This window comes from Homo sapiens, chromosome 9 (assembly GCF_000001405.40).
Source record: "Homo sapiens chromosome 9, GRCh38.p14 Primary Assembly".
In the NCBI taxonomy this organism is placed as follows: domain Eukaryota; kingdom Metazoa; phylum Chordata; class Mammalia; order Primates; family Hominidae; genus Homo; species Homo sapiens.
This window is the reverse complement of record NC_000009.12, coordinates 67,056,789-67,073,406: the sequence shown is the minus strand read 5'-3', so window position 1 is coordinate 67,073,406 and position 16,618 is coordinate 67,056,789. Positions and strand designations below refer to the sequence as shown.

General features: G+C 40.1%; 1 pseudogene across 1 annotated transcript in view; it reads right to left on the bottom strand.

Annotated features, from left to right (window-relative positions):
* The window catches only part of CNTNAP3P2 (CNTNAP3 pseudogene 2), a 237,697-nt pseudogene extending 223,750 nt beyond the window's left edge, over window positions 1–13,947 (bottom strand). Inside the window, exon 1 of the transcript NR_111893.2 lies at window positions 13,764–13,947. The product of NR_111893.2 is annotated as a CNTNAP3 pseudogene 2 (transcript). The remainder of the gene's footprint in view (window positions 1–13,763) is intronic.
* Between the last annotated feature and the right edge of the window lie 2,671 nt (window positions 13,948–16,618).

Below are 16,618 nucleotides of genomic sequence, written 5' to 3'. Positions count from 1 at the left end.
TAAGGTATGAGAAGGATATGGCTTCTTCCCAAGACATGTTACAGAGGGATGGAAAGAAGACTGTGTTCAACTTATAACATCTTAAAGGGACCTCATGACCTCACAGGCCAGAGCAGGCTATGGAGCATCTGGGAGCTGAAGAAAGAGAACTTCAGTGATACTTAAGTAAGGGTTAAGAGATGCACTCCAATTGCATTCTGAAGACAGATCCCAACAAGACCAATGACATCAGCTAGATTTTTTTCAGCCCAAAGTAATAAACCTGCAAATTATCAGAACTTGTTCACTACTCCGTACTTGGCTCTAATATGATTAGTAAGGTGGCAGTGTCAGAATCCTTGAGAAAATAATAACCAGAACATCTTAGAATTTATTGTGCCCAAGGAAGGAGCCCTGTCAATAGACAAATGTTTATTTGAGATGTCAAAAAGATAATTTTAAAACTTTAGGAAAACAACAGGCATTATCCCATGGCAATATGTTTTATGTCCAAATTTCAACTCTATTATTTCAAGCTATGTGTGTGACTTTAGAGGCAGCTTTGACTTCAATTTTTTAACTTAAAAAGATAAGAGTATTTAGAACACAATGGGAAATGTTACATAATACTACCTTGTAGACCTCCGAGCAACCACTATACAAAGAGACACTGTTGTTATGATTGAGGACAACATCGTTCATCAAATGTGAAAAGCTACCCAAATGAAACCCAGAAAAAACATGTTCCACTGAAGAAGAGAGAAATGGGCAAAGTAACCAAGGAAAGAATATTTACAGTGAGGCTGGGTGCAGTGGTCAAGATGGGTGGATCACAAGGTCAGGAGTTTGAGACGAGCCTGGCCAACATGGTGAAACTCCATCTCTAGTAAAAATACAAAAATTAGCTGGGCATGGTAGCGGGAACTTGCAATCCCAGCTACTCGGGAGGCTGAGGCAGGAGAATTACTGGAACCCGGGAGGCAGAGGTTGCAGTGAGCCAAGATTGTGCCACTGCTCTCCAGCCTAGGTGACAGAGCAAGACTCCATATCGGAAAAAAAAAAGAAATACTTACAATGAAAAGGAACATTAAAAGGAGGCAATATAAAGCAAAGTGAGTTAAAGCCCAGAACAAATTAAGACTTTCAAACATTGCTAAACGCAATCAAAGAGATTTTTTGTATACTCATAAGAAAAACCAGAAGAAGCTGCACTCTTTTGACAAAGCTCATAAGGCTAAGAAAATAGACAGGTCCGGATCCAAGATGGTCGAATAGGAACAGCTCCAGTCTACAGCTCCCAGCATGAACGACGCAGAAGACAGGTGATTTCTGAATTTCCGACTGAGCTTTGGTGACAGTAGTGGTTCTCCCAGCATGGAGTTTGAGATCTGAGAATGGAAAGACTGCCTCCTTAAGTGGGTCCCTGACCCCTGCGTAGCCTAACTGGGAGACACCTCCCAGTAGGGGCTGACTGACACCGCGTACAGCCAGGTGCCCCTCTGAGACGAAGCTTCCAGAGAAAGGATCAGACAGCAACATTTGCCATTCTGCAATATTTGCTGTTCTGCAGCCTCTGCTGGTGATACCCAGGCAAACAGGGTCTGGACTGGACCTCCAGCAAACTCCAACAGACCTGCAGCTGAGGGTCCTGACTCTTAGAAGGAAAACTAACAAACAGAAAGGACAACCACACAAAACCCCATCTGTACGTCACCACCATCAAAGACCAAAGGTACATAAAACCACAAAGATGGGGAGAAACCAGAGCAGAAAAGCTGAAAATTCTAAAACTCAGAGCGCCTCTTCTCCTCCAAAGGAACACAACGCCTCGCCAGCAACGGAACAAAGCTGGATGGAGAATGACTTTGACGAGTTGAGAGAAGAAGGTTTCAGATGATCGGTAATAACAAACTTCTCCGAGCTAAAGGAGGATGTTCGAACCCGTCGCAAAGAAGCTAAAAACCTTGAAAAAGGATTAGACGAATAGCTAACTAGAATAAACAGCGTAGAGAAGACCTTAAATGACCAGATGGAGCTGAAAACCATGGCACGAGAACTACATGACGCATGCACAAGCTTCAGTAGCCAATCCGATCAACTGGAAGAAAGGGTATCAGTGATTGAAGATCAAATGAATGAAATGAAGCGAGAAAAGAAGTTTAGAGAAAAAAGAGTAAAAAGAAACGAACAAAGCCTCCAAGAAATATGTGACTGTGAAAAGATTCACCAAACTTGAAATGAAGGAAAAAATATTAAGGGCAGCCAGAGAGAAAGGTCGGGTTACTCACAAAGGGAAGCCCATCAGACTAACAGCGGATCTCTCGGCAGAAACTCTACAAGCCAGAAGAGAGTGGGGGCCAATATTCAACATTCTTAAAGAAAAGAATTTTCAACCCAGAATTTCATATCCAGCCAAACTAAGCTTCATAACTGAAGGAGAAATAAAATCCTTTACAGACAAGCAAATGCTGAGAGATTCTGTCACCACCAGGCCTGCCTTACAAGAGCTCCTGAAGGAAGCACTAAACATGGAAAGGAACAACCAGTACCAGCCACTGCAAAAACATGCCAAATTGTAAAGACCATCAAGGCCAGGAAGAAACTGCATCAACTAATGAGCAAAATAACCAGTTAACATCATAATGACAGGATCAAATTCACACATAGCAATATTAACCTTAAATGTAAATAGGCTAAATCCTCCAATTAAAAGACACAGAGTGGCAAATTGGATAAAGAGTCAAGACCAATCAGTGTGCTGTATTCAGCAGACCCTGCTCACGTGCAGAGACACACATAGGCTCAAAATAAAGGTATGGAGGAAGGTCTGCCAAGCAAAGGGAAAACAAAAAAAAAGCAGGGGTTGGAATCCTAGTCTCTGATAAAACAGACTTTAAACCAACAAAGATCAAAAGAGACAAAGAAGGCCATTACATAATGGTAAAGGGATCAATTCAACAAGAAGGGTTAAATATCCTAAATATATATGCACCCAGTACAGGAGCACCCAGATTCATAAAGCAAGTCCTTAGAGGCGTACAAACAGACTTAGACTTCCACACAATAACAATGGGAGACTTTAACACACCACTGTCAACATTAGACAGATCAACGAGACAGAAAGTTAAAAAGGATATCCAGGAATTGAACTCAGCTCTGCACCAAGCAGACCTAATAGACATCTACAGAACTCTCCACCCCAAATCAATAGAATATATATTCTTCTCAGCACCACATCACACTTACTCCAAAATTGACCACATAGTTGGAAGTAAAGCACTCCTCGGCAAACGTAAAAGAACAGAAATTATAACAAACTGTCTCTCAGACCACAGTGCAATCAAACTAGAACTCAGGATTAAGAAACTCACTCAAAACTGCTCGACTACATGGAAACTGAACAACCTGCTCCTGAATGACTACTGGGTACATAACAAAATGAAGGCAGAAATAAAGATGTTCTTTGAAACCAATGAGAACAAACACACAACATACCAGAATCTCTGGGACACATTTAAAGCAGCGTGGAGAGGGAAATTTATAGCACTAAATGCCCGAAAAAGAAAGCAGGAAAGATCTAAAATTGACACCCTAACATCACAATTAAAAGAACCAGAGAAGCAAGAGCAAACACATTCAAAAGCTAGCAGAAGGCAAGAAATAACTAAGATCAGAGCAGAACTGAAGGAAATAGAGACACAAAAAAACCCTTCAAAAAATCAATGAATCCAAGAGCTGGTTTTTTGGAAAGATCAACAAAATTGATAGACCACTAGGAAGACTAATAAAGAAGAAAAGAGAGAAGAATCAAATAGAAACAATAAAAAATGACAAAGGGGATATCACCACCGATCCCACAGAAATACAAACTACCATCAGAGAATACTATAAACACCTCTACGCAAAGAAACTAGAAAATCTAGAAGAAATGGATAAATTCCTCAACACATACATCCTCCCAAGACTAAACCAGGAAGAAGTTGAATCTCTGAATAGACCAATAACAGGCTCTGAAATTGAGGCAATAAGTAATAGCTTACCAACCAAAAAAAGTCCAGGACCAGATGGATTCACAGCCCAATTCTACCAGAGGTACAAGGAGGAACTGGTACCATTCCTTCTGAAACTATTCCAATCAACAGAAAAAGAGGGAATCCTCCCTAACTCATTTTATGAGGCCAGCATCATCCTGATACCAAAGCCGGGCAGAGACACAACCAAAAAAGAGAATTTTAGACCAATATCCTTGATGAACATTGATGCAAAAATCCTCAATAAAATACTGGCAAACTGAATACAGCAACACATCAAAAAGCTTATCCACCATGATCAAGTGGGCTTCAGCCCTGGGACGCAAGGCTGGTTCAACATACGAAAATCAATAAACGTAATCCAGCATATAAACAGAACCAATGACAAAAACCTCATGATTATCTCAATAGATGCAGAAAAGGCCTTTGACAAAATTCAAAGACACTTCATGCTAAAAACTCTCAACAAATTAGGTATTGATGGCACCTATCTCAAAATAATAAGAGCTATCTATGACAAACCCACAGCCAATATCATACTGAATGGACAAAAACTGGAAGCATTCCCTTTGAAAACTGGCACAAGACAGGATGCCCTCTCTCACCACTCCTATTCAACATAGTGTTGGAAGTTCTGGCCAGGGCAATCAGGCAGGAGAAGGAAATAAAGGGCATTCAATTAGGAAAAGAGGAAGTCAAATTGTCCCTGTTTGCAGATGACATGATTGTGTATCTAGAAAACCCCATCGTCTCAGCCCAAAATCTCCTTAAGCTGATAAGCAACTTCAGCAAAGTCTCAAAATCAAGATTTTGTATCTTGATTTGATACAAAATCAAGATTTTGTATCTTGATTTGATACAAAATCAAGATTTTGTATCTTGATTTGATACAAAATCAAGATTTTGTATCTTGATTTGATACAAAATCAAGATTTTGTATCTTGATTTGATACAAAATCAAGATTTTGTATCTTGATTTGATACAAAATCAATGTGCAAAAATCACAAGCATTCTTATACACCAATAACAGACAAACAGAGCTCCAAATCATGAGTGAACTCCCATTCACAATTGCTTCAAAGAGGATAAAATACCTAGGAATCCAACTTACAAGGGATGTGAAGGACCTCTTCAAGGAGAACTACAAACCACTGCTCAAGGAAATAAAAGAGGATACAAACAAACGAAAGAACATTCCATGCTCATGGGTAGGAAGAATCAGTATCATGAAAATGGCCATACTTCCCAAGGTAATTTATAGATTCAATGCCATCCCCATCAAGCTACCAATGACTTTCTTCACAGAATTGGAAAAAACTACTTTAAAGTTCATATGGAACCAAAAAAGAGCCCGCATTGCCAAGTCAATCCTAAGCCAAAAGAACAAAGCTGGAGGCATCACACTACCTGACTTCAAACTATACTACAAGGCTACAGTAACCAAAACAGCATGGTACTGGTACCAAAACAGAGATATAGAACAACAGAACGGAGCCCTCAGAAATAATGCCACATATCTACAACTATCTGATCTTTGAGAAACCTGACAAAAATAAGCAATGGGGAAAGGATTCCCTATTTAATAAATGGTGCTGGGAAAACTGGCTAGCCATAAGTAGAAAGCTGAAACTGGATCCCTTCCTTACACCTTATACAAAAATTAATTCAAGATGGATTAAAGACTTAAATGTTAGACCTAAAACCATAAAAACCCTAGAAGAAAACCTAGGCAATACCATTCAGGACACAGTCATGGGCAAGGACTTCATGTCTAAAACACCAAAAACAATGACAACAAAAGCCAAAATTGACAAATGGGATCTAATTAAACTAAAGAGCTTCTACAGAGCAAAAGAAACTACCATCAGAGTGAACAGGCAACCTACAGAATGGAAGGAAATTTTTGCAACCTACTCATCTGACAAAGGGCTAACATCCAGAATCTACAATGAACTCAAACAAATTTACAAGAGAAAAAACAACAATCCCATCAAAAAGTGAGCAAAGGATATGAACAGACACTTCTCTAAAGAAGACATTTATGCAGCCAAAAAACACACGAAAAAATGCTCATCACCACTGGCAATCAAATGCAAATCAAAAACCACAATGAGATACCATCTCACCCCAGTTAGAATGACGATCATTAAAAAGTCAGGAAACAACAGGTGCTGGAGAGGATGTGGAGAAATAGGAACACTTTTACACTGTTGGTGGGACTGTAAACTAGTTCAACCATTGTGGAAGTCAGTGTGGCCATTCCTCAGGGATCTAGAACTAGAAATACCATTTGACCCAGCCATCCCATTACTGGGTATATACCCAAAGGATTATAAATCATGCTGCTATAAAGACACATGCACACGTATGTTTATTGCAGCACTATTCACAATAGCAAGACTTGGAACCAACCCAAATGTCAATCAATGATAGACTGGATTAAGAAAATGTGGCACATATACACCATGGAATACAATGCAGCCATAAAAAATGATGAGTTCATGTCCTTTGTAGGGACATGGATGAAGCTGGAAACCATCATTCTCAGCAAACTATCGCAAGGACAAAAAACCAAACACCGCATGTTCTCACTCATAGGTGGGAACTGAACAATGAGAACACATGGACACAGGAAGGGGAACACTACACAACGGGGACTGTCACGGGGTGGGGGGAGGGGGGAGGGATAGCATTAGGAGATATACCTAATGCTAAATGATGAGTTAATGGGTGCAGCACACCAACATGGCACATGTATACATATGCAACAAACCTGCACGTTGTGCACATGTACCCTGTAACTTAAAGTATAATAATAATAAAATAATAAAAAATTGAAAAGTTCAGTGTTCGAGTTCTCTCTTTGTCTCTTGGCCTCTGCGATGCCTGCAGAAACCCAGTCACAACCCATTCATTCATATTCCTCTCCTTAGAGCCAGGAGTTAGCACCCCAAGGGCAGTGCTGAATCCCTGGACAGGACTCGGGATAAATGCATTCCCCCTGCTGTCTCTCAGAGGCACAGCTGTGAAACACATTCTACCGGCTTCCTGAGAGCTTCCCAGGGAGTTCGTGCCCCAGTTGCTCACAGAAGTGACCAGCTCAATGACACCCCCTTTTGGTGGATTTTTCTTCTCTATTCCATTCTTCCCTCTTTTATGTGCTCACTTTCTAAAAGAGGCTACCTGCACAAACGCCCATCACAGGCTCAGCTTTCTAAGAAAACTCTGGCTGGGACAGTGGACTTTCCAGAATGGAATGTGGGCAGTATTCTAAAATACTAAATAAAATGCAATAGGAAAATCAAAGGGATGAATGTCACATGGCATAAAGAAGGAGGTAGAGGACATCTGCCTAGCCTGCCAAAACAAAACAAATTGACAATCAACCCCGGCCACCCAGGAGATGAGCTTTGTCACAGCAATTCTTCCTCATATCCCAGAAAAGAGAAGAAGAAATGAGGACAGTAGAATCAACTGTGACATCCAAAAAAGGAAGGCTGCCCAATCTCTTCTCTAGAATGTGTCAACTGTGATTTATGAAATGACATATGCTATTTTTATATTGCAATGTTTGCTTATCTATAGGTAAGAGCTCACTATTTCTTATATCATGTTATAATTATATTCATGAAGAAGATGACCACTGCACAGACAAGTACACTGTGAAGAACCGTGAGGAGAGATTTTACCCTACTTGCAAGCTAACAAATGAGTCTGCCAGTTTGTTTCATGGTTGCGGCAGAAGACTTCTGGGTCAAAGCAAAGGACTGTATTACTTACAGCATAGCAAACAATATGAGCATCAGCATATTTGCATCAATTTCCTTGCCTCCAAGTCCTCTGGGGGAATATGGATGGGCACAGATGGATGTGTGCACACGCAGTGGGTTACATGACAAGTGAGGAGCCCCGAGCTTAGGGAATTCAAAGTTTTCTATGGGCAGCAGGCATTGCTTGCCCTTTGGCAACACTGCTGAAATAAATCTCTTATAGTTCAAGATGTATTGATAAGCGTGTTAAGCTTATTTTTATACATGAAGAATAACAAATTGTTATTTTCTATGGTTATTCACAGTATCTCAAAATCTATGTGATATTTTACTAGCTTAGTTTTATTATAATTTTAAAAGACCATTTGGGTTCCTTTGTTAGTGGACAAGAATAAAAAGAGATAAATTAGTTACTTTCTTAAAGCTAAGCAACATCATTTTCTATTGAGGAACCCAAAACTTTCCTAACTTTTACAAATGTTTGTAAATTGTAGGTTCTGTGACAGCCTGTGCTATAAAATTTCATAAGCTTATAAGAGCTTTCTTAACACAGCTGTGGACTTTTCTCCTGGTGTTGTACAGCAGTTCAAATTAGCACAAGAATCATAAACCCTATATTTGAACAGCTATATAATATTATATATTTATTTTCCCATTTGATGTTGCATTACTTTTTCTACCAATCTTCTTACAATAAATTCATAAATATCTTAATTATAGCAAATGTGCAGTTCTTAAAGATGAGAATCATCAAACATGTTTCTATTACAGAGATATATTCTTCAAAAAGTCATCTAAAATAGAAACCCAACTGGGAGACACCTTAAAAGGTTATCTGCCACAACAGAAGCTTTGCTTAAAATACTGTTCTCTTTGTATTTGTGTTAATAATTGATTTGTCTTTGAAATTAAATTAGGAATCTACTATATCTAGTGGTCTTGAAATCAAAGCCCCCTCCCCATTCCTTATCTTCACTGCTGTGTTCAAAAAGACTAGACTCCAGGGACCTGTCCAAAGCTGGGTTAAATATAGGATGTCTGAGAGACACCCTTCTTTCATAGTTCGAGGGTAAGCATGTAGCTGTATGTGTGTGGAGGGGCGGGTGGAGGAGGTTAGCTGTATCAGGGTAGGCATAATACTATATTTTAAATCCCTCCTTCTGTTATAAATGTAAGCTGAAAATAGTCTCTGCTCCCAGCGGCAGCAATCGTAAACTCGCTTAGTTCTGCCTGTAATTTAATTTAATTTAACATGTGACATTGAGACAATGTTTCTTTTAATTCACATATAACTTCTTCCTCACCCACATTCCAGCCAAATAAACACATACTTATAGAAAAATGTGACTGTTTTCCTGGGCACCCCAACAATTCAACTGTCCCTAAAACACCAGGTTCAATTTAAACTCTATTAGCTTGTCTGAGGGCTAAGATATCTAAAAATCCAAGACAAATTATCATTTGCATATATGGAGGCAGCTCTGATTGAACAGATATCTAAAACTGATAGGTAATATTTTAGATCAAATCACCCCATCAAGTCAAAGACTAATTCAACTGTTTGTTCAGTTTCCAAAGGAATCCTTCCATTTTGGTCTAGTGTTCCATAAACATTGACTTTACATGAAAAGGACAGTGAAGAGATCTCTTGAACCGGCCAGAAAGTTGAAGCTCAAGGTTGCAGAAGATTTGAGCTACCAAGTCCAAGCCTTCTAAAAGATTCCCAATATGTATATATATCATTTTCCTAACTCCACATTTGCCTGAGAAACAATGACATTCAATAAACTTTTTTCCACGGGATTTAGTTACAAAATAAGTCAAGGAACTACAAGTTATATATTTCCTGGAAAAATATACTATTATACATATATATTATATATTCAAAACTCCGTAAAGCATATAAAGTATAAGCATATACTGAGTTATAAGGCATAACTCAACATGTTATTTTAACCTAAAATTTTCTTAGGGCCTCAATTGCAAATGCTTTAATTGCCAATGGTTCATAAACACATCTGTGAATTAGAAGCAAGTAATATCCTCTGTTTTTATACTCTCAAAAAATGTGATTATACTTAATCAAAAGTAATTCAAACCACAGCCCAGGCAATACATACTAGACCACGTCTTCTTGGTAATTTAATTCTTAGCAATAATTTTAATTGCTGCCTTATTAAGTAGGTATGCTACTTAAATTACAATCCTGTAGTTATAAGGTTAAAACTATTTTAAAATCTCGAATGTTTTTAGATTTCAATCACTCTTCGTATTATTACAACAAAAATGTTCATTAACTGGAACACATGCAGTATCATTTTTTAGCCCCCACTTTATGATATTTTTTAATTTTTATTACCAGAGTAGTCATTTCATTATAAAATTTTAACCAAGCTAAGCATATACTCCGTTTTTTAGAAAACTAGATTTACTGTAGTCCTGTTAAGGCTATCATAGTAAGCAATGAATTTCACACTTGTCTTTTATACAGTACCACAACACATCAAGCAGATATATGAATTCCTTGACAAAATACATTTAAAACAAACAATTCCATGCTTTATATGTCAAGTGGAAAAGGAATATTTTTTCTACAGTGACAGAGCAGACTTGACATGTGCACAATCATGTACAACCAAGCGTTTGCAAATGCTCTTACAACGTGCAGCAACCGGGCCTAGGGACAAGCAACCTTTCAGCTAAGAGTCTCGTCAAAGGTGCGGAAGCCCATTACAGAAGACCAGATAACAGTCAGTCTGACGGGTTCATTCAGATATTCAAGCTTTAAAAAGTACTTCGAAGACTGATACAGATGTCCTAGGCAATAAACTTCCCAAAAAGAATGGAGAACAATCCCAGTGCCAATTACATCTTTGTCATTCAGAAATCCAGGCTAATTTGATTTAGAGACATATATAAATGAACTGTTATTTCTCATAATTGTTTTTTTTCAGCCTCTTTATTTTTAGTCTACATCTCTTAGGTAAAATACATCAATTTAACTACATTTACTTATTCTGAGTTTTTCTATTGGTCCATGTTTCCTTTAAACACAATTTTGAATGGTTTTTTAAAGTAACCATTTGATTTTGAAACCAATTTACAGAAAACATGGAAGAACTATGCTAATATGCTGTATCACCCCTGAATACTTCAATGTACATTTCCTACAACAAAGATGTTCTCCTATATAACCATAATATGATCATCACAGTCATCATGGATAAAGTTCCAATATTTAATCCCCAATCTTGTTCAAGTTTCACCAATTCCCAATCATGTCCTTTATAACATAAGCATTTAATGCAGAATAGTATTTAGTTGCCTTGTTTTCTTAGCCTCTGTCAATCTGGAATGCCTCCTTCCTCACTCCACTCAACTTCTGACAACTTGCTATAGGTCACCACCAGTGCTGTCTCCTGTCTCTCCAGGTCCCCACCCTTGCTATACTGTGGATGCTTTCCTTACCCTGCTGGTTTCTGAATGCTCTGCCATGGTCCTGGGCCTCCCCACTACCCAGCATGGATGCCTAAGCCGAACTGAATGACCTTGGACTGAATTGTTCAAAAAGAGAAGGGGAGAGGAAGAGGAAGAAGAATGCCAAGTAATTTGATTTTTCTTTTTTCATGATCAAACCAATGTCTTGGAATTAATTATCATTTCCATGGGCTACTTCTGCTCCATACTGTTTGTATAGAGTTTGGTGAAAATGAATAAAGGCATGTGAACTACATTTTTTGGGGTTTTTTTTGTTTTTTTTTTTGAGACAGAGTCTCACTCCGTCACCCAGGCTGGAGTGCAGTGGCACGATCTCAGCTCACTGCCTCCTCACAGGCACCTGCCACCATGCCCTGAAATTTTTTCATATTTTTAGTAGAGGCGGGGTTTCACCGTGTTGTCCAGGCTGGTTTCGAACTCCCGACCTCAAGTGATCCACCCGCCTCAGCCTCCCAAAGTGCTGAGATTACAGGTGTGAGCCACCGTGCCCAGCCTGAACTCCATTTTTTATAGAGTACCATTTGACACTAAAATTAAGAGTCTGTTATTCATCTGCAGAATCTCTCTTAAAATGGTATTACTAAAAGGTCCAAAATGAAACATCTGTAAAAATAATTATTCCTACACTCTGTGAGATCTCTTTCCTGACACATTTCACATCTAAGTGAGTTTCCTAACTAACCCACACACACTCTATAGTAGGCTTACCCTTCTTTCCCCAGGCTGGCTAGCGAACTTGCAAAACATAACCATTTAGGGGAAAAAATTGAGGCAATTAAAATTAAAAGTGTTTTAGGCTAAGTAATGAATAAATTAACCCACTGAAAAGTTACATCAAAGGCTATTACTCAGCATTTTACCAATTACAGGAATTTCTGCAAAATCTGCCCAGCCATTTGTTTGTGTATCCCTGGGATCAGTGCCCAGAGTTCAATCTTTCTCTTGATGCTTCCTGTTGTTTTCAGGGACTCAATGAGAGCAGTAAGTGACCTTTCACTCAGTGCAAGTCTATGGGCACTGAAGTTACGAAAATATTTCCCTTCATGCAGAATCTTCCTAACAAAGCTTTCCCATGTATTTGTCGGGTCAAATAACATTCAGATAAACTGCACATAATCCCCAAAATGCCAAATGTTTAGAGAGCTTTTTTTTTTTTGAGACGGAGTTTTGCGTTTTGCTCTTGTTGCCCAGGCTGGAGTGCTATGGTGGGATCTCAGCTCACTGCAACCTCCACCTCCCAGGTTCAAGCGATTCTCCTGCCTCAGCCTCCCGAGTAGCTGGAATTACAGATGCCTGCCACCACGCCCGGCTAATTTTTGTATTTTTAGTAGAGACAGGGTTTCACCATGGTGGCCAAGCTGGTCTCGAACTCCTGACCTCAGGTGATCCACCCACCTCGGCCTCCCAAAGTGCTGGGATTACAGACATGAGCCACTGTGCCCGGCCTAGAGAGCTCTTCCCATGAAGAGCCATTTCATGCCATCATCAACAGGCTGCCTTCGTGGGTGGCCAATGTGCTTCTGGAAAACCAGCTGTGAATAACGTGAGCAACTCATGGTGTCTACATGAGAAGGAAACTTTTAGATGTCCTTATTGACTTTCTTCTTGGTATTGAAGGTGGTATAATTATTATAGTTACATAGTTTTATCTGGAAGAATTACTTGATCTAAAAGGTAATTTAAAATTAGTAAAATTTATTAGATATGAGGATACTACATATGATGTAGAATCATAGCCCATTCTAGAAATAAAAGCTTCCTAGGTGTTTACCAAATTAAGGAAAATAAAAAACAGGGAACCCGATGGCAAATTAAATAATGTAAAATATTAGCATCCAGAGAGGAATCATTTTCAAGATCACCTAAATGACTGGCTGAGTTTTGTCTTTAACCAAGAACTTTCTACTGAGAAACGAAGCCCCTGACAGGGGTGTTCAAGTGTTATTCCCTTAGTAGTTAGGGCAGGTTATTAATTTAGTTTCGCCTACAGGCGCTCTGTCCCTATACTGCGTGGAAGTTAATTAGCATTTTAACTCTGAAGCTGCCAAGGTCGGCAAAACTGTAAGCTGCTAACATCTAAGTTGATGCAGTATGATGTAATGTCTGCCAGTTTTTTCCCTGTTAGACTTAATTCCTACAAAATATTACAATCCTAAAAAGGAATAAATGACAGCATTTGCAGGCTAATCTCTTATTAAGATGCTCTTTTCAGGTTTTACAGAAACGGCCACTTTCTCAATGAATATTCAAGAACATCGATTAAAAAGTCAAAACATGCATGGTATATCTTAGACTCCCCCACAAGAGGAAAGTCTATTGTAAACAAAATCGTCTTTTTCGGGTTGCAATTCCAAATATTTTTTTAAGGTTCTTCATGTTCAGGAGCATGTTCTGCAATTCCACTTCCAAATATTACCGATAATAAAAAAATACAAAGTTTTCCAGACAGCCTAGCGCAAGTTTTAAACCATTTGCTGTACTTACGTGGATTTCCTGCTCCTACGGGGCTCCAAGTCTGAGTGGGGAGAAGCAGCAGCACCTTGAGGACGGCCCAGGCCACTGAAGCCATGCTCTCTTCAGCCAGGCGCCCTGAGACCCGGGCAAGGCGACGGCCGCTCTGCGTCGTTCCTGCTCTCACTCCCGCTCTCACTCCCGTCCCCTGCGCGGCTCCGACGCTGCTCTGTCTCCCCTGTCCAGTCTCTAGCTCTCTTCCTCACGCACTGGCAGCCTCCCTCGGCGCTGCAGACCCTCCCGCCAAGCCGCGCCCGGCCCCAGCTGCGTCTCCGAGGTCGGCCCCGCGGACTCGCGCCGCAGCTTTCTGGAGCGCTCGGGGCCGCGCGGCGCCGCCCCAGGCACGGAGGCGGCAGGTTCAGGCGCGTCCCGGACACTAGGCGCGGGAGGCGGCCGGCAGCAACGCGAGTCAAGAAGCGAGCGGGAGGGACGCCCCAGCTCCGCCTGGCGCTCTCCTCCCGTTATACCGGCAGCTTCCTCCGTCCCTCTCTCCCACCGGGGCGGGGCGGCCGCGGTGCACGGACTCGTGCCAAAGACCGCGCCGTCAGCCTCCGCCTGCAGGTGGAGAACGCCAGGCTTTATCACTCTGCTGTTCACCCAACGCAGGGGCTGCACCCAGGAAAATCCTGTCCTGTTTGAGTTCAAATAGGGAAGATGGGGCAGAAATAACTCTGCGGCGTGTACTCGGGCAGACGCGCGCACACTTTGATTTTGCTAGGAATTCTGACTTGTAGAGAACCAAGCTGGGAAACCGGGCCAGGAGCAGGGAGAGGCCGGTGAGCCTGGGTTGTGCGAGTGCAAGCCTTTATTTAAAGTTTTAATATTTTGTCTATCATGGGTTTTTTTTCTTTGCGATTACATTCAATTTTAAAACTATTTCATTCATTCAGGATTAGCGTTACTTAACAGTTGCTCCTGAGACTAGTGCGTTAGTCCCTTCACCCTAGTCCTGGCCTTGGTGGAAGTCTAAAATTTATGTTTTATTCCAGCTTTCTGTCCAAAAGAGCAACCCCTGCAAGTGTAGGATGAGGAGCTCAGTCCAGCAGCAGCTAACACTGCACTCCTTGCGCGCCTGCTGTGTGCTAGAGAGAGGGGCAGAGGCGGGAGGCGGGAGGCAGGGGGCGGGGGGGTCTTTCTCTTTTTCTCTTCCTCTGCTTCTCAAATTCACAGTAGGGGCAAAGATTGACAAACTCACTCACATTACCACCACCGCGAGTTTCCAAAAAAGAAAAAAGAAAGAAAGATACTAACTTTTTTAGATGGTATCTCTAAGAAATAGTGTATTAATCTTCCCTTTGGAAAGACAACTTTGAAAGGCTTTTTCATTAAAATGAATTCAAATGTAATAGATGTAAAATGTAAAATGAATTCAAGTGTAATAGATGAAGAAACTTACAAAGTCATTCTTGAATTATAAATTGGGTTCACTTAAACTACTTTTGCACAAGAACTCTGTAAATAGCACGTCTTTTATTACAGAAAAAATTATAAATCTAAAGTTTTGATTGACAGATCAGTTGCCTTCAGTGAGACAGAGAGAAAATGGAAATCATTTTCTAAATTGGACCTAGAGTAAAACAACAAATGTCAATCTATTATTATACCAATTTGTCAGGCATCAGATGGAGTCTTTAAAAATGTGAACTTGGCCGGGTGCAGCGGCTCATGCCTGTAATCTCAGCACTTTGGGAGGCCGAGGAGGCCAAGAGGTCAGGAGATGGAGCCCATCCTGGCCAACATGGTGAAACCCCGTCTCTATTAAAATACAAAAAATTAGCCGGGCGTGGTGGTGCCTGCCTGTAGTCCCAGCTACTCGGGAGGCTGAGGCAGGAGAATCGCTTGAACCCGGGAGGCAGAGGTTGCAGCAAGCCAACATTGCGCCCTGCACTCTAGCTTGGCGACAGAGCCAGACTCCGTCTCAAGACAAAAAAAAAAAAAAAGTGAACTTGGGTGTTCAAAGTGTTAGGCTTAATGGAGAAAGGACAAGAAACTTCTACGGTGGTAGACATTTGCAATTAAAAAAATGGCTTCATTAAACTGTAAAATCACTAGCGTAGTGAGGGTGAATGCATTTTTTACAACATTGGAGGAATATGTTTATGAATATTATTCCCAATACATAAAATATACATTTTACACACTTATAGGTACACTCAAAATTTGTTCCAAGTTGTTCATGTCTAGTAAACGTATATACACTATTTTATATGGTTAAGCCAATAAGCATCAGCATTTTCTTCTAAGACAGGAGGCTTGTAATTGTTTTGATTCCCCTGCTTTTGACTTAAAACTTATTTAGGTTTATTCTACTTAAGTTGTTTGGTTAGGGGACTTGAAGTCCTTAGACATAAATGTGTGTCTTGAAATGCATTTTATGTGGCTATAATTGCTGCTATATGGTTATTATTTAAATCAGCATAGACACTTGCTGTGGTGATAATGCTGTCAATGAACTTTGCAGACTAAGAGTAGTGAGGCTCTAAAAATTACTTTGCCTAATAGAGAAGCATCCGTCACAATCATCACACACTACACACTTACTGAACAAATGAAGGCATGAATTCGAGATGGCCGATGTAACTAGAACACTGGATGTCCTAGAAAAAATGTCGAATATCACAAATATAAATGTTTTATGTGTTGCTGCTTTATTTCCTTTCTTCCCTACTTTCCATGATAATGCAATTTAAACTTTGAAACTTCTTACTTACCTTCTATTTAACCTTAACATGGATAATAAATACAATTATATTTTTTATTTCAATCTGGATAATGGTTGCATGATTCAACCAGAATAAAAAAGGAATAAGATCTACTTTGTAATAGCA